Source organism: Homo sapiens, chromosome 6 (assembly GCF_000001405.40).
Source record: "Homo sapiens chromosome 6, GRCh38.p14 Primary Assembly".
Lineage (NCBI taxonomy): Eukaryota > Metazoa > Chordata > Mammalia > Primates > Hominidae > Homo > Homo sapiens.
Window position 1 is genome coordinate 105,088,649 of NC_000006.12, and position 15,618 is coordinate 105,104,266.

At 43.7% G+C, this 15,618-nt stretch overlaps 1 protein-coding gene across 3 annotated transcripts in view; it reads right to left on the reverse strand.

The window, feature by feature from the left end:
* Positions 8,174-15,618, reverse strand: part of POPDC1 (popeye domain cAMP effector 1) — a 40,336-nt gene continuing 32,891 nt past the window's right edge. For all 3 annotated transcript variants that reach the window (NM_001199563.2, NM_007073.4, NM_147147.4), the window contains exon 8: positions 8,174-12,565. In NM_001199563.2, coding sequence (NP_001186492.1) covers positions 12,441-12,565 — 125 coding nt within the window. In that variant the 3' untranslated portion in view covers positions 8,174-12,440. The remainder of the gene's footprint in view (positions 12,566-15,618) is intronic.

Consider the following 15,618-nt stretch of genomic DNA (forward strand, 5'->3'; position numbering starts at 1 on the left):
GGCATGATGGCTTGTGTCAGTAATTCCAGCTGCTTGGAAGGCTGAGGCAGGAGGATTGCTTGAGACCAGGAGTTCGATGCTGTAGTGCCTTTGATCACACCACTGCACTCCAGCCCGGGAGACACAGTGAGACTGTCACTAAAAAAAAAAAAAAAAAAAAAAAAAAAAAAAAAGAAATGCAAGACTTCTTCATTGGGGTTTTATTACTGAAAACTTTGATGTTCCTCTTCTCACTCAGACATCTTAATAGGGCTGCCCATACTTCCATTATTTGAGAAGAAACAATATCTTGTCAAAATGCTGATATCACACCCAGGTATTCTAAGTATTTGATTTAAATGTGTGTCTCTAGATACAAGTTCTGAAAAGAGTTTTCAGGTATAATTTAATGAAGAAATACATCTTTTACCTTCAGCTTCCATTTATGTATCACTGATTAATGTAATAATAGCTTTTACTTTTATAGTGCTTTATCGGTGACATGGTGCTTTAAAATTTAATTCTCACAAAACCCTCCTAAGATTAAGATGGCAGATATCAATATTCCTATATTACAGATGGGTTCAGGGAGATTACATTAACTACTTGGGCTATAACCTGGCTTGGAGCTAGCTAGGAAAGACACCTCAGAATTCTGATTTGAATCATTCTCTTCTTCCAGTCACCAGAACCAGGCAGTAAGCTTCCTTCTGACTCTTTAGGAAGTGCCAAGAAGACAAGGAAGTGAGTAGGAGAGTTGAAAGGATCAAAATCACACACCAATGTGATTGCCCACATTTGCTTCTGTCTGAATGTTTCCATCCATGCCACCCATTTCTACTAGTCATTCTCCAAACCCACTCTCACTCTCATCCTGCTCCACTGTGTTTCTCTGGTCTTGTTTGTTTTTTGTTTTGAGACAGAGTCTTACTCTGCTGCACAGGCTGGAGTGCAGTGGCACAATCTCGGCTCACTGCAACCTCCGCCTTCCGGGTTCAAGCGATTCTCCTGCCTCAGCCTCCCAAGTAGCTGGGATTACAGGTACATGCCGCCATGCCCGGCTAATTTTTGTATTTTTAGTAGAGATGGGGTTTCACCATGTTGCCCAGGATGGTCTCAATCTCCTGACTTCGTGATCCGCCCACCTTGGCCTCCCAAAGTGCTGGGATTACAGGAGTGAGCCACCGCACCCGGCCTCTTCTTTTTTTTTTTTTTGACAGAGTTTTGGTTTTGTTGCCCAGGCTGGAGTGCAATGGTGCAATCTCAGCTCACTGCTGCAACCTCTACCTCCCAGGTTCAAGTGATTCTCCTGCCTCGGCCTCCTGAGTAGCTGGGATTATAGGTGCGCACCATGCCTGGCTAATTTTTGTATTTTTAGTAGAGACGGAGTTTCACCATGTTGGCCAGGCTGGTCTGGAACTCCTGACTCAAGTGATCCACCTGCTGCGGCCTCCCAAAGTGTTGGGATTACAGGCGTGAGCCACTGCGCCTGGCCGTGTTTCTTACAGTGGGAAGCAAGGCTATGAATGCACTAGCCTGCGAAGCCTGGACCTGCCAGGAGTTCCACCCAATCACCTGGCATGTTTGTGCAAGGGAAGCTCCTGGACCTCACCCCAGACCAGAGTTTCTCAACCTTCCTATCCATATGAATCACCTGGGAGCTTTTAAGACTCCCAATGCCCAGATGAATGGCATCAGAATCTTTAATCCCAACGTGCAGCCCAGGCTAAACCCACTGTCCCGGCAGGTGCATTGTGTCAGTATCTGTGAGGGTGGGCTCTTGGAGCTAGACTTTTAACTGGTTCCCTGAGTGACCGTTTTATAAAAAGTCTGAAAACTACTGGCCAGGAGCCAATAAATACAAGTTGCTTTTAACTGGACTGTGAACAAGAATACGTGGGTTCTAGTTTTTCTTGGGTTCAATTTTCCTGGCTGTGTTTTTCATCTGCCCAATGGGGGCAGGGGGTGGACTCAAACAATCAGACCTCAAAGTGGTCAAGAGGACCTCAAAATGTGGTCCTTAACAGCAGCAGCAGCATCCTGCCCCGGCAACATGGCAAAACCTCATCTCTACAAAAAATACAAAAATTAGCCAGGCGTGGTGGTGCGTGCCTGTATACCCAGCTTCTTGGGAGGCTGAGGTGGTAGGATCGCTTGAAGCCAGGAGATCAAGGCTGCAGTGAGCTGTGATAGCGCCACGGCACTCCAGCCTGGACAACAGAGGGAGGCTCTGTCTCAAAATAAAAAGAAAGTTATCCTCAGCATAACTTTTTTGGATCAAGAGGTGACCAATAATCACAGACGTCTGAGTGCTAGCAAGGGTCTGAGGAGGTTCAGAACTTCCTTGTCCTTGGTCAGGTCACAATGCTCCTGTAAACCTTTAACAAAATAGTTGATTTGCTTTTTAAAATATATATACTTCCCCTTTATTCCCAGAGCTGGTTTCAAAAGCTACAGGATTGCTGTTTTTGTGTTTTATCTTAGTTCTCTAAAATTATCCTAGGCTACGTGCAGGAATGGGTACAGGCCCTTTAAACAAATGGAGTTAGTTGTGTTAGTTCTTTTCTTGTTTCACTGTTACACCAGTGCTTTCCATCCACTGGCTGCCTCAGAGAGGTCTCTGCAGCCTCCTCTCTGCCCAGTGCTTTCTGGAGCCACTTGTCTAAGTTGGAATTGGCTCTTCTCTCTGCCCCAGGCAAACAGGTCCAGAGCGATTGCAGCTGAGAGTGTGGGCCGCCCATGCCTCCAGCCATTTCTGCTGTAAGCAGAAGGAGCCTTGGTAATAATCCCCTGCCCTGTCCGTCCTGTGGGTCCTGGCACTGACCTTTACAAGGCTCTTTACAAGGACTGTGGCTGCCAAGATTCCAGAAGGCTTAAGGATTCGACTTGACAAAGGAAAAAGGGAAAGAGGAGGACAAACATGTACTGGGTGCAAGCTATGTGTTAGGAAAGGTTCGAGTGTACATGTGAGGACACAGTGGCTCTGCAGGCTTCACAATTTGCCTAAGATCACACTGTCAGAGCCGGCACTCAGAACCGCTTCTGTCCCACCTCCAAGCCACGTCCAGGACAGGACTCTGCCTCCTTTTTCAGGCCTGTGCTTTTCAGCTGCTTCCATCTATGAGGCAAGTGGAGGTAAACAATGTAGATAAGAAATCAGTTTGGGACAAAATATACTAGGACCCCATTTTTTCACAGGAATTGGTAATCATTTTAAAGGCCAATGTCAGATTTTAATTTTTTTTCCTAAGAAAATGCCCCTCTATATAAATACATGTACAAAGAATAGAAAGTCTTACCTTTTTCTATTTTAGCATGAAAACTCCTTGATAACCTAAGGAAAGGAGCTGGGAACCAGATACACTGGTGGCCTCACACTCAACCTCCAGGGGCACGGGAGAGAAAGAGGGCTGCAGACAGGCAGGCCTCAGTCTGAGGGGTCCAGGAGGAAGTCCCGGCTTTGTGACTTGAATTGTCTTGGTAAACTCAATCTATTTGAGCTTCAGTTTCCTCCTCTGCAAAGTGGTGATCATAATAACTACCTTGCAGAATTGTTGTGAAAATACTAAATCATGTATTTTAAATGCAGCCTCTGGTAAATAATAGGCACTCAATACATGCTGTTCTCACTATCTCCCATTACACCTAATTGTTCTTACTAACAAAACATATCAGCACTAATAAGAAAAGTTAGAAGAGATCAGGTGAGAACAACAAAAGTAGTGGGAAGCACGTTGAAAAAAATTAGGTCTCCAGGACGACAGAAGCGATTTTTTTTTTTTTTTTTGAGATGGGGTCTCACTCCGTTGCCCAGAGTGCACTGGAGTGCAGTGGCATGATCTCGACTCACTGCAAGCTCCGCCTCCCAGGCTCAAGTAATCCTCTCACCCCAACCTCCCAAGTAGCTGAGATTAGAGGCATGCACTACCACGCCTGGCTCATTTTTGTATTTTTTTTGTAGAGACAGGATTTCGCCATGTTGGCCAGGCTGGTCTTGAACTCCTGGGCTCAAGGGATCTCCCTGCCTCAGCCTCCCAAAGCCACCTCCTTGAGATTACAGGCGTGAGCCACCACACCCGGCCTACAGAAACAATTTTAAGAGAAGTAATGTCATAGCAGATGAGTGAATTGTAGTTCTGTTTTCTGCACAGTGTAGCTGGCCTGCTGGGAGGTTGAACCTGAGGTTTGTTCCCTGTCTGAGATCCTTCTGCGGTCTTGCCTCAGCCAGTCTCTACACAAATGGAATAATTATAATGTAGTCACCAACAGTTGTGAACAGCTCAGTACGCTTTCATTATTTGCAGATAAATATCAAGAATTAAATGGCTACCATCACCTCCCTGTCCAAGGTCCCTTTTATAAGAGCTGTTTTACAGTCGTGGGACCTCCATTGACTCAGATGTGACATAATTTAGCTCAGTTCAAACCACTTTTGGTTCTGTTGGCCTGCCAATCAAGGAGTCAGAGGGTAAAATCCTGAATCAAGTTGTCCTCCTGGGAGCAGGCCCTGTGCACTGGCCCAGCAATGATAAGCACCATGGCATTTAACAGGCAGCTGGGACGAGCGAATAGACGAAGAAAATCAGAAAGACATAACTAAAAGTGGGAAAGAGGTAAATTTTCTCATGACAGGATGAAGAAGAAGGCTGGGAGAACGTGGAAGTCAGTGGGATATATTTGTCCTTGGCGAATAGCAAGAAAATATTAACGTAGTGTTTAATATCCAGGATCCAGCTGGGCACAGTGGCTCACACTTATAATCCTAGCACTTTGGGAGGCCAAGGCAGGCAGATCGCTTGAGTTCAGGAGTTCAAGACCAGCCTGGGAACATGGTGAGACCTCCATCTCAACAAAAAATACAAAAATTAGCGGGGCATAGTGGCACACGCCTGTAGTCCCAGCTTCTCGGGAGGCCGAGGTGGGAGGATCACTGGACCCTGGCAGGTCGAGGCTACAGTAAGCTGAGATCGCACCACTGCACTCCAGCCTGGAAAACAGAGCAAGAGCCTGTCTCAAAAACAAACAAACAAAATACAAAAAACACAAAACAAAATCCAAGACCCAGTGGTAGAGCAACCAAGAGGACGCTGCTATAGATGACATGGGAACTGTGAACATGGCCCAAAACTGGAATGAGAACAAGGCCTAAGCATAGAGTAGGAGTAGAATAAGTAGAAAATAAGTCGGTTTCTCAGAGTTGAAGACACAGCCTGAGAAGCATAGTGAGATCCCATCTCTACCAAAAAAAAAAAAAAAATTAGCCAGGCATGGTGGTGCACCCTTGTGGTCCCAGCTATTGGAGAAGCTGATCTGGGAGGATCACTTGAATCCAGAAGTTCAAAGCTGCAATGAGCTGTGATCGTGCCACTGCACTCCAGCCTGGGCAACAGAGCAAGAACCTGTCTCTAAAAAAAAAAAAAAAATTAACCAGGGTTGTAAGGCAGAACTAGGAAAGTGAACAGACCACATGTGTTTGGGACCTGCCGACAATGTGACCTTGGGTCAGTCACTTACCGTCTCTGTACCCACCTTCTCTCCCTTCTAAAAAGGGGACACAGGGCCTGCCCTCCCACATTGACAGTACTGTTGACGGTTCAAATAGATAAGTGAAAGAGCATTGCTAGATTCAACGATGATCTGAAGAGACATTGAGACCTAAGCAAACGTCCCTGCCTTGGCTGCCATACAACCAGCCATATTGTGTGCATAAATTCTTGGCCACAGAGGGCAGCAAAGGAGGGAAGAGCAGATCCACAGAGGTGTGGGAGTTTACCCTGGGGGTACCGCTGGATGGAGAAGTGCGGGCATTTTGGGCAGAGGTGGGCTCACGTGTGATGAGTTCAGGGGATGGAGAAGTCACTGTCTTGGCTGGGTGCGGGTGACTGGGTATGGGAAGGGCCTTGGTGGCCGTGCAGAGAGTGCGGCCTTTTCTCTGCAGGAAAGGAAGCTCCATCAGAAGGTTTTCAATTCTGTTGGCAAATTTTCAGATTATTCTGATAGCAGCACAAAGGTCGACTGGAAAAAGTGAGGCCAGAGGTGGAGAAACAAGGTGGGGTTCTATTGCAGGAACCAGGGGAGAGCCACAGGGGCTAGAAACAGAGGCACTTAGAGAATGATGAAATTCATCATTCTGCTTAAAAATAATAACTTATTACATGTTAACATGAAGAACGTTTTTCTATTTATAAAATTTATAAAATTACTATTTTATAAAACAAAAAAGTGTAGAGTGGCATTGTTTTATGCTTTTGCAATTCTAGAGGTGTGGCTAAATACAAGAGCTGGATTTTCACATCTGCTCTGCATTCAGTAGATTGTAACATATATCGTTTTGGTTGAAGTATATGAAGAAAATCTAGCCTCACACAAATTTTGGAAAAGGGAGGAGTACAGAGTTAAGTACTTTAATAATCTTGAGATAATTGTGGATTTTTTTTTTTTTTTTTTGAGACAGAGTCTTGCTCTGTCACCCAGGCTGGAGTGCAGTGGCATGATCTCTGCTCACTGCAGCTTCCGTCTCCTGAGTTCCACAGATTCTCTTGAGTAGCTGGGATTACAGGCGCATGCCACCACACCTGGCTAATTTTTGTACTTTTAGTAGAGGTGGGGTTTTGTCATGTTGCCCTGCCTGGTCTTGAATTCCTGGCCTTAAGTGATCCACCCACCTTAGGCTCCCCAAAGTGTTGGGATTACAGGTGTGAGCCACCATGCTGGGCCAACTGTGGCTATTCTTGATACTACAGAAAACTCTATAATAGTTTCGTTTTTCTTTTTTTTAAGGTTAGTCAAGTGAAGCAGTGGGAGTGGAAAAGGAACAATCTTTCTTAAAGGTTGTTTGCAGTGTGGAGTCCAAAACCCTGTTAATGGCAGTTTTGTGCTGCTGCACTGGTCTAGCTTGTGCTTGGAATAGATCTTATATCCATGTGTGTGACTTTACAACATCATGTGTTGACCATTTAAAAAATACTGGCTCACTTATGCGGATCTTTCAAATGTTAACACATTTCGAAATAAAAGATCAAAAATTCACTCATTTATTATTATTCATTCATTCATGGGGGGGCGAGGGATGAGGAAAAGAAAAAACCTTAACTAGAAAAATCTTTATGTATTAGGAAGCTGGTGAACTCACAGTGACGTCTCCAACTTGGAAATCTGTATCTTCAGCCCAGATCCCTTCACTGAGTTCCAGGCTGACTTATCCAATTGCTTGCTTGACATCTTTTCATTATTCTCAAGGCCCCTAGAACTTAGCATGAAGAAAACATACTCAGGCTTTGCATTCAAACCTGGCGCTCTGCGATGTTCCTGGCCAGAGAATCACCAGCAGTAACATAAGCCAGAAATCTCCGACATGCTCCTCTCACTCACCACCAGTTCTGCTCCCACAAATAGCCAAGTCCTGTCAGCTTTATCTTCTGGTGGGCTGTAGCCATGTCTGTCTACAGAAAACCCCCAAGTGGACATCACTGGAAACTCCCAGCTCTTACAGCACAGCCTTAGGTAAGGGGAAGCTGACCAAAAGCTGGCTCAGCACGAAGTTCAGGGCTGGAAACCCAGACATCAGGCCTAGATGCCATGGCCTGTTGAGTGACAGAATTAATTCCTCTCATGGTATAAGATGCTCCTTCCATTTGGGCCTATCATTGAGGCTGACTAGGGTGGGTGTGTTAGATGCCAAGGACTTGCCACTCAAGGCCAAAAGATGGGCTGTCAAGTTTCCATTCCAATATCTAGGACAGCTGATGGGAGAAAACGTGGGTTTCTCAAAGAATAGAAAGACTGTCCCCCTCATCCACCACAGAACAGATCCAGGGAGGTTTTCTGACTCCTTCATGTGACTCCTCATATTGTTGAATCTTAGGAAACTAGAAGGGAGTGAATGTTCAGATGCAATAGAAAAAAAGCTGAAGCCCACTAAGTCCCATCAATAAAACTCTGAAGGCTTCTCCATTGCTGCATCTAGTCAACACTGTCTACACTGCCTTCTGGCCATTTTTTTTTTTCACAGTCAAAGCAGCCAAGATGGCAGGACCTTTGAAGTCAGGTATGACCGACCCACAAGCACCGCCCCTGCTGGTCTGCTCAGAATACAATGGCCTGCACCAGGCCCATCCCCACAACCTTGGCCTTTGGGCATGACATTCGAACAAGCTAGATATATGTAAGAGGAATGAAATAAAAAATACACACATTTTCTAAGTAAGAAATTTATTTGATCAAATGGCAATATATGAAGATATTTTAAACTATAAGGCTCTATCCAGACAAAAAGCATCTTTTTATAAAGTAAGTGTTATCAATTTAAATGGCACCTAAAATCAAAGAATGAGTTTCCTATAAATGTCTGTATAAAGCTTTCATAAAATCCTCATGTATTTTAAAACTAGGTTGCAAGTATAACAGAAAAACCTATAAATAGTACTTAAAAGCAGGTTTCTTAAAATTTATGACACCTACAGTGTGTCACTATAGACAGAGTATTCGGGGGGCTCTGTGACAATCAAACATGGCTGCCATGAGTAAGGGAGCGTGTCCCCTGATGAGCAGAACCGAAGCAGTGATTATGCCTCAGCCTCGAGCTCCCCGCACAGCATCCTACCATTCCAAATTCTTGGGACTTTGAGTTGAGTTGAGAATTACTACAAGAGGAGGTTAGGAAACCAGGATTGGAAAGAGGGAAGGGAGAGGAAACCAAGGCATGCCAGGATCAAAGATATCTATAAAGCAGCTTTATAAATGACCAAGAAAATGGGTTTCTAAAAAACGCAAAATGGTGAGGCCTTGGGGCTGCAACGTGGCATCTGTGAAGAGGACGACGCCACGCCCGCTGGGAAGGGCTGACCTGCATGCCAGGTGCTTGGCTTGGAGCCACCACACGCAACAGCATGAAACTTTCTCTGGAGTGCCAAGTCATTACCTGGAAACACTGGGGACAGGTCAGTGTGTAGCTTATACCAGCTTTCCCCAAAGATTTTTCCAGCAACCAAGTGACTCAGCAACCAAGTGACTCTGTCTTTGGGGCCGTGATGGGAGCTGACATGGAGGAATCTGCAGCTCCAGGTTCTAAGATCAGGAGAGCTTCAGACAAGTGGGAAAACCAGATATAAAGAGGGTGACATACACACACTGTTAGCAGCAAAACGCAAAGGTGTCCAATGATTAAAATGAAATTGAGTGATAGGGAGAAATGGAGAAGATTCCAGAGTGTCAGGGATAGTAACTGAAAATAATTATATAGCACCCATTATTACTAATTTAAGATATATAAGCATCACTGCGGATTTATATAGTGTCTATGCTATTAGTTTAGTAAATATAAATATTTATGAGGGCTTTCAAAATATTTTAAATGACATATACATTCTAATATAAATATTACACTCCAGATTCATACAACTGAGTTGATGTTACATTTAAAGTAGTAGATTTGGGGTTGTATATGGAGTAACTTTTGCAGACCATTTTCTGAACTTTGATCATTCAGCTAAGTAAAGGCCAAAAAACACAGGAAGCATCTTATTGGGAACTTTGGCAGCAAACATGTTTTTATCTATGTATTTATGCATTATACAAAGATACACTTATTCATTTGTATAAATGAATTTAAAGTACTCCATAGGAGATCTTACACTTAAAACACTTTTCTGTCTTCTTATCTGCTTCTTTGAGATCAAGTCTATATGGGAGGCTTCTTCCTTAGAGGTGTGTGTTTAAAAATAGTCTCACGTTTCCCATTCAGGCTAAGTGGCTCTTTTAAGATTCCTAATCTTGAGGTTACAATCTTCACATTGAGACACTGATACACACACATACTTTAATAAAAACAGCAAATGGTCTTATATCACCTACTTTTAGCAGTGTGCTTTTAAAACAGGTTTGTTCCCAGCATTACAGAAAATAATCTCCAAACACATGCATTACTTTCTACTCAGGGAAGGATGTTACATCTAATGACTGTATAGAGTGATTTTGTAAATTAGTCTTATGCGCGTGTAAACTAAATGGGCTGCCCAACTTAACCCCAATGGTTAAAGGAAAGTAGTCTCGGCACTATGACATCACAGTTACACCTGTGCTCTCAGGTACAGGGCGAAAGTGAGAGCGAGAGCGCACGAGAGAGTTCAACCTGAGAGAGCTTTATAATTTCAAGCCTAGGCTGTCATTCACCTTTGCTTCATTTCTCCAAAACAAGCTCCTAATTTAGCTACCTGAAGAGACTGCTGCAGCAGTACAGTGAAAGCAGCCTTTTTTTGAAATAGGGTCTCACTCTGTTGCCCAGGCTGGAGTGCAGTGGTGTGATCTGTGCTCACTGCAACCTCAACCTCCCAGGTTCAAGTGAACCTCCCACCTCAGCCTTCTGAGTAGCTGGGACTACAGGTATGTACCACCACACCCAGCTAATTTTTTTTGTAGAGATGGGGTTTAGCCATGTTGCCCAGGCTGGTCTTGAACTCCTGGGCTTAAGCAATCCACCCACCTTGGCCCCCCAAAGTGCTGTGATTACATGTGTGAGCCACTGTGTCCAGTCGACAGTAGCCTTTTTACTGTGATGTCAATAAACCAACATCTGAAGATGACAGGAACTGGATTCAGAGTCTGTGTAAATTTTCTCAATGAGTGACCGAGCATGTAAATTTAACTCAAATGAAATTACTACAATAATTGCTTTAAAAACATATTTAGGAAAATGAGGTGACCCTAGATGAGCTTATTTATATGTCTCCTCTAACAGAAATCACCTCATGGTAAGAGTTGCTTCTTTTGGCTCAGTTCACCTGAGAACAACTTCATTTGGAACTTTTCTTAGCCATTTAACGTAACAGGAGACTGACTCAAAGTTGGTTCTAGTGGATGAAGCAAAATAGACATGACCAGCATGGCCAATCAATGAGCTTCATTCAACGGAGCGTCCTGGCCAAGTGCCACAGCCACGCTGGCCAGACACACTGACCAGTTACGCATTTCCCACCAGCCAAATGCCACTGTTTACTAAACCATGATTTCAGTAGGAAAAAGAGCTCTGGAATCAAGGCCCTCACTGCAGTACCTGGGTGGGGTGTCCATGGCCTGGCCTGTAGTAAACCCTCTGCCTTCCACTGTGTTCACGTTCGCAGCTCTGGCACTGGGGCATCTGGCACTTTTTTAAAAGAGATGTCTCTGCCTCTAGATGAACAATCTGGAACTTCAGAATACAGATCAAAGAATGAAGCAGATCTTTCAGTGGCCTCATCCTGTGGCACCTGCCCAGCCATTTAACTCCCCTGTCCTCCCACCCTACATAAAGTGTTTCCCACACCAGAGTGTGCACAACATGGTGACTCCAAATCCCAAGGAAGTTGAGTTTAGCTGGAGGTTAACCCCGTGCTCAGAAACCCATCTGTTATCTTTCCAGCTTCAGGTTTCAGAGCAGTTTATAAATGGCATAATACAAGGGTAATGTGAGTAAAATCTGAGAGTTTTGTTCATTATCAAGTTATCCACACAGTGCCCAATTAAGTAAGGTGATCTAGTGGAGTAATACTTCTGGCCTGGGAGAAAAATAAAACCAGTCAAATCACACCTTTCTCTAAAATGTCCCATTAAAAAAATATGGAATAGGCCGGGCGCGGTGGCTCACGCCTGTAATCCCAGCACTCTGGGAGGCCAAGGTGGGCGGATCACGAGGTCAGGAGATCGAGACCATCCTGGCTAACACAGTGAAACCCCATCTCTACTAAAAATACAAAAAAATTAGCTGGGCGCGGTGGCAGGTGCCTGTAGTCCCAGCTACTCGGGAGGCTGAGGCAGGAGAGTGGCGTGAATCCAGGAGGTGGAGTTTGCAGTGAGCTGAGAATGTGCCACTACACTCCAGCCTGGGCGACAGAGTGAAACTCCATCTCAAAAAAAAAAAAAATTATATGTATGTGTGTATGTATATATATGTATATATATATATATATGTATGTATGTATGTGTGTGTGTGTGTGTGTGTGTGTGTGTGTATATATGGAATAAAGTTTGAGATTCCCTGCTTTTTCATGTTACCTTAGCCTCAATTTTAAACTTACATTGTTTGTTAAAATTATCAAATGGACAACCTCATTGCTATGGAACAAAAAAGACTGTGAGGAAAAAGAATCATAACTTGGAAAAAAATAAGTGAAAAGGCATTGAGAGATTGCTAAGATTTGTTAAGTTAAAACAATAATATATCTAGAAAAGACTGTGAAAATATATATCTCAAAAGAGAACAAGGCATAGTCAGAAGGCTCAGTAAAACAATTACTTTAAAAGCTGACTAATAAAAAGGGTAAGTGAAAGAACTCTTCCATCCTTGACCCTTCCTCACTTCCTCCCTCCGACTCCACCAGTCTGGATGCACTAAAGCAGAATAACCTAAAAGCCATGAAAAAGTGCTGGTATTTTTCAGGATCTCTTCAAGACACCTTCCGTCTTGGTAACCTGAATTCTCTCTCTGATCAAGGCAGCTGATGGACTTTCAATGTATTTGGAGATGCCGGTTCAAAAACGTCATCATCATCTTCTGCTCCTTCTTCTATCGGTTTCATCTTGGCAGAGGCTCGCTGGTGTGGGGATGACACATCTGTGGAAAGATACAGGAGGGAAAACCACTGAATGCACAATCTACCCAGACCCTGGTGTGATATATCAATTATAAATTCCAACTGGAAAATAAAACTGTAGGAATCTATCACTAGCAGCACCAAGAACACAATTTCCATAAACCATTCTATTTCAATCCAGCATCTCAATAAAATAACCAAGTCAAGAAGAGACTCTCAGTCAGGAGCACAGATGAGGGACAGATTCCACCGCATGTGCTTGGATGATCTGAGCTTCTCAAATATATTCAGTTCCCAGGGGTTTGCCCCACAGTCTGCTTAGGACTCAGAACGCATGTTCCTACATTAATATCATACATGGGGGCTTGAGTCTCATATTAGCCCTTGAAAGTTGATTTAACTCCTAATTTCCCCAAAGAATACTTCTATTCCAAAATTATGGAACCTAATCACCATCTGTAATATCACCTAAAACATTTCTTGCCTCCACCATGGAGTCCAGCCACCCACTGGGCTTACACGCAAAGGAGACAGGGGAAGAGGAAGAAAGGCCAGGCATTCAGGAGGGACAAGCCAAGTAGAGGAAACGCAATCCCAGGCAGCAGCAGGAGAAAAGGCAACCCCAGGGCCTTTTAGGATGCCATTTAATCAAAGGAACCAGGCAGCAATTCATTCATTCAGTCACTCACTGGTTCATGCATTCACCAAATGGTTATCAAGCATCTACCATATAATGGATACCATGCTTGATGTAGAAGAAAATACTATCTAAAAGTAAGAGTAGAAGTCATTATCAAAAGGCCTCTCAAGGTGCCTAATGAGCAGCTAACGTGACTGCATAAACTCCCCTCCTTACAGTCACCACCATCACTGTCAGGATCCATGTTGTCCGGGTTTCCACCTGCTCTGCCCACACCCATATCTTCGCTACCCAATCACAGGGTGGAGTGGCATTCCGGCAGCCCACAAATGCTGAACTCAGCTGGGGAGAAGGTTGATGGTGGAGGGATACCGGGTGAAACCTGGCTCTTTAAATACATGCTCACAGCAAAAGCGAGTGGAGGATCTATTAAGACATGAAGCAGATCTGCTACAAGATGACCACAGAAGTTTGTCAAGATCAGCTGTCATTCACTGGCAGGAGTCAGGAGCAGACAGCTGGGTTGGCCAGCACAGGGAGAATGCCACAACCAGCAAGGAGGGCCAAGGGCTATGAGCATGTCACACGGCTGCTCCTGGAGGGAGGCTGAGACAGCGGCAAAGGCTTTGCCCTGGCACTCAGCCATGAACGAGTGGTCATTCCTGGCCCCTGGTATGGCACAGGGGGAGGGAGCATGCAGAGTGGTCAAGACCAGAGGCTCAGCAAACAGTTCCAGAGTTCAAATCCCTACTCTGCAACCTGCACTCAATTACTATACCTTTCTAGGCCTCTGTTTCCATATCTATAAAAAGGGGATATTCTTAGGATCTGCTCCATGGGATTGTTAGGAGGATTAAACAGAATAATGCATAGGATGTACTTAGCAGGGTGTTGGGCCTATAGAACATGTGACTAAATGTCATTTCTTATTAACTGTACAGTCACTGCCGTACATCTGGGGAAATGCTACCACCAGTCACATCCTCTAACATAAAAAAATATGCAGGGCTAGACTGTGGTACAGCTAATGTATACTCGCTGTATATATACGGAAATTGTTCACTTACAGACATTTACAGCAAAAATACTGAGTCTCTTGAATGACAACTATTGACATAAACTGTAGAAAAGAAGCATCTAATAAAATGGTCCAAGAACCCAATTCTGCACAGGGCACAGCATGGGAAGTTCTCAGGCGAGTTCTTCCCCTTTCCCATGCAGGTGACATCAAACACACGAAACACAACCTCTACTTCAATGTCTATTCAAATGGCAATGAATTCTATCTGTGCGACCTTGGACAAGTTACTTCTTTGTGCCTTAATTTCCTTACCTGTAAAATAGGAATAATAAGAACAGCACCTATTTCATATGGTTGTTATAAGGATAAAACAACTTGATATTTGTAAAGTTATTAGATCAGTGCCTGGGATGTAATAACCACTTTGTAAATATTTGTAAGAACATAAAAATCAATTACTATGGTCTTTGGAAGGCTATGGACTTAATAATGAGAAAATTTGTTAAAATTCATCATTGCTCATAAGAATGGCCAATAAAGGAAATGGGCCTTGTGCTCAAATGTGGGTTTGTGTTTCTCAATCTTAGCTCTCTTGAGTGTGGCAAAATTGTCTTTAAAAAAAAAAAAAAAAGCCCTGGTTTCCATCATATTTTTAGCCTTAAGTTATCATTGGGTCTCATAAATATTAACTTAGGCTGAGTATCTACAATGAGACAAAACTCTCAGAACAAACAATAAGATGGCATGTCTAAGAGCATTAAATCAAGTCAATAATATATAGTATATAGACATAATTGTGTAACACGCTTAACAGAAACATACCCAGTTTATTCTGTCTGAGGAAGTAGGACTAACTGGTTTCTAGTTTTTAAGCTCATCTATCATACCAGGAAGGACATCCTACAGTTATATTGAGGCAGGTATCTATACTCTGGAGCCACAATGGTATCTGACCCTCCCAACTCTCTCACCTATACTTTGCATTTTTTTTCACTGAGAGAAAATGAAGGGAGGACTCAACACAAATGGAAATGGTTAAGTGAGAACTTCCCAAGAGCTTTCAGCTTTTCTGTGAAAGAATTTATTCTGCTCCCACCATATTTGCTGGGGCAGAAGAAGAGCTATGGAACTTACTATATAACATTAAAAGGATAATGAGAGTGATTCACAATCCTTAGGGTGACATCCAGGGTTCTCCAAGTTGGGTCTCCCTCCCTCTTCCAGTCCAAGCTCTTGCAAACTCACTGCTCTTCAAATCCAGCCCATCCTCCTCTTTTCCTCTTGCCTTTTTTCCCTCTACTTGGAATGGTTCCTCCACTCCCATCTCTAACCACCAAATTCCCATTGTTTCCTCAAGCAGGATTCAAACTCCACCTCCTTCATGTGTAACCCTCCATGACTCCTGTGGGAAG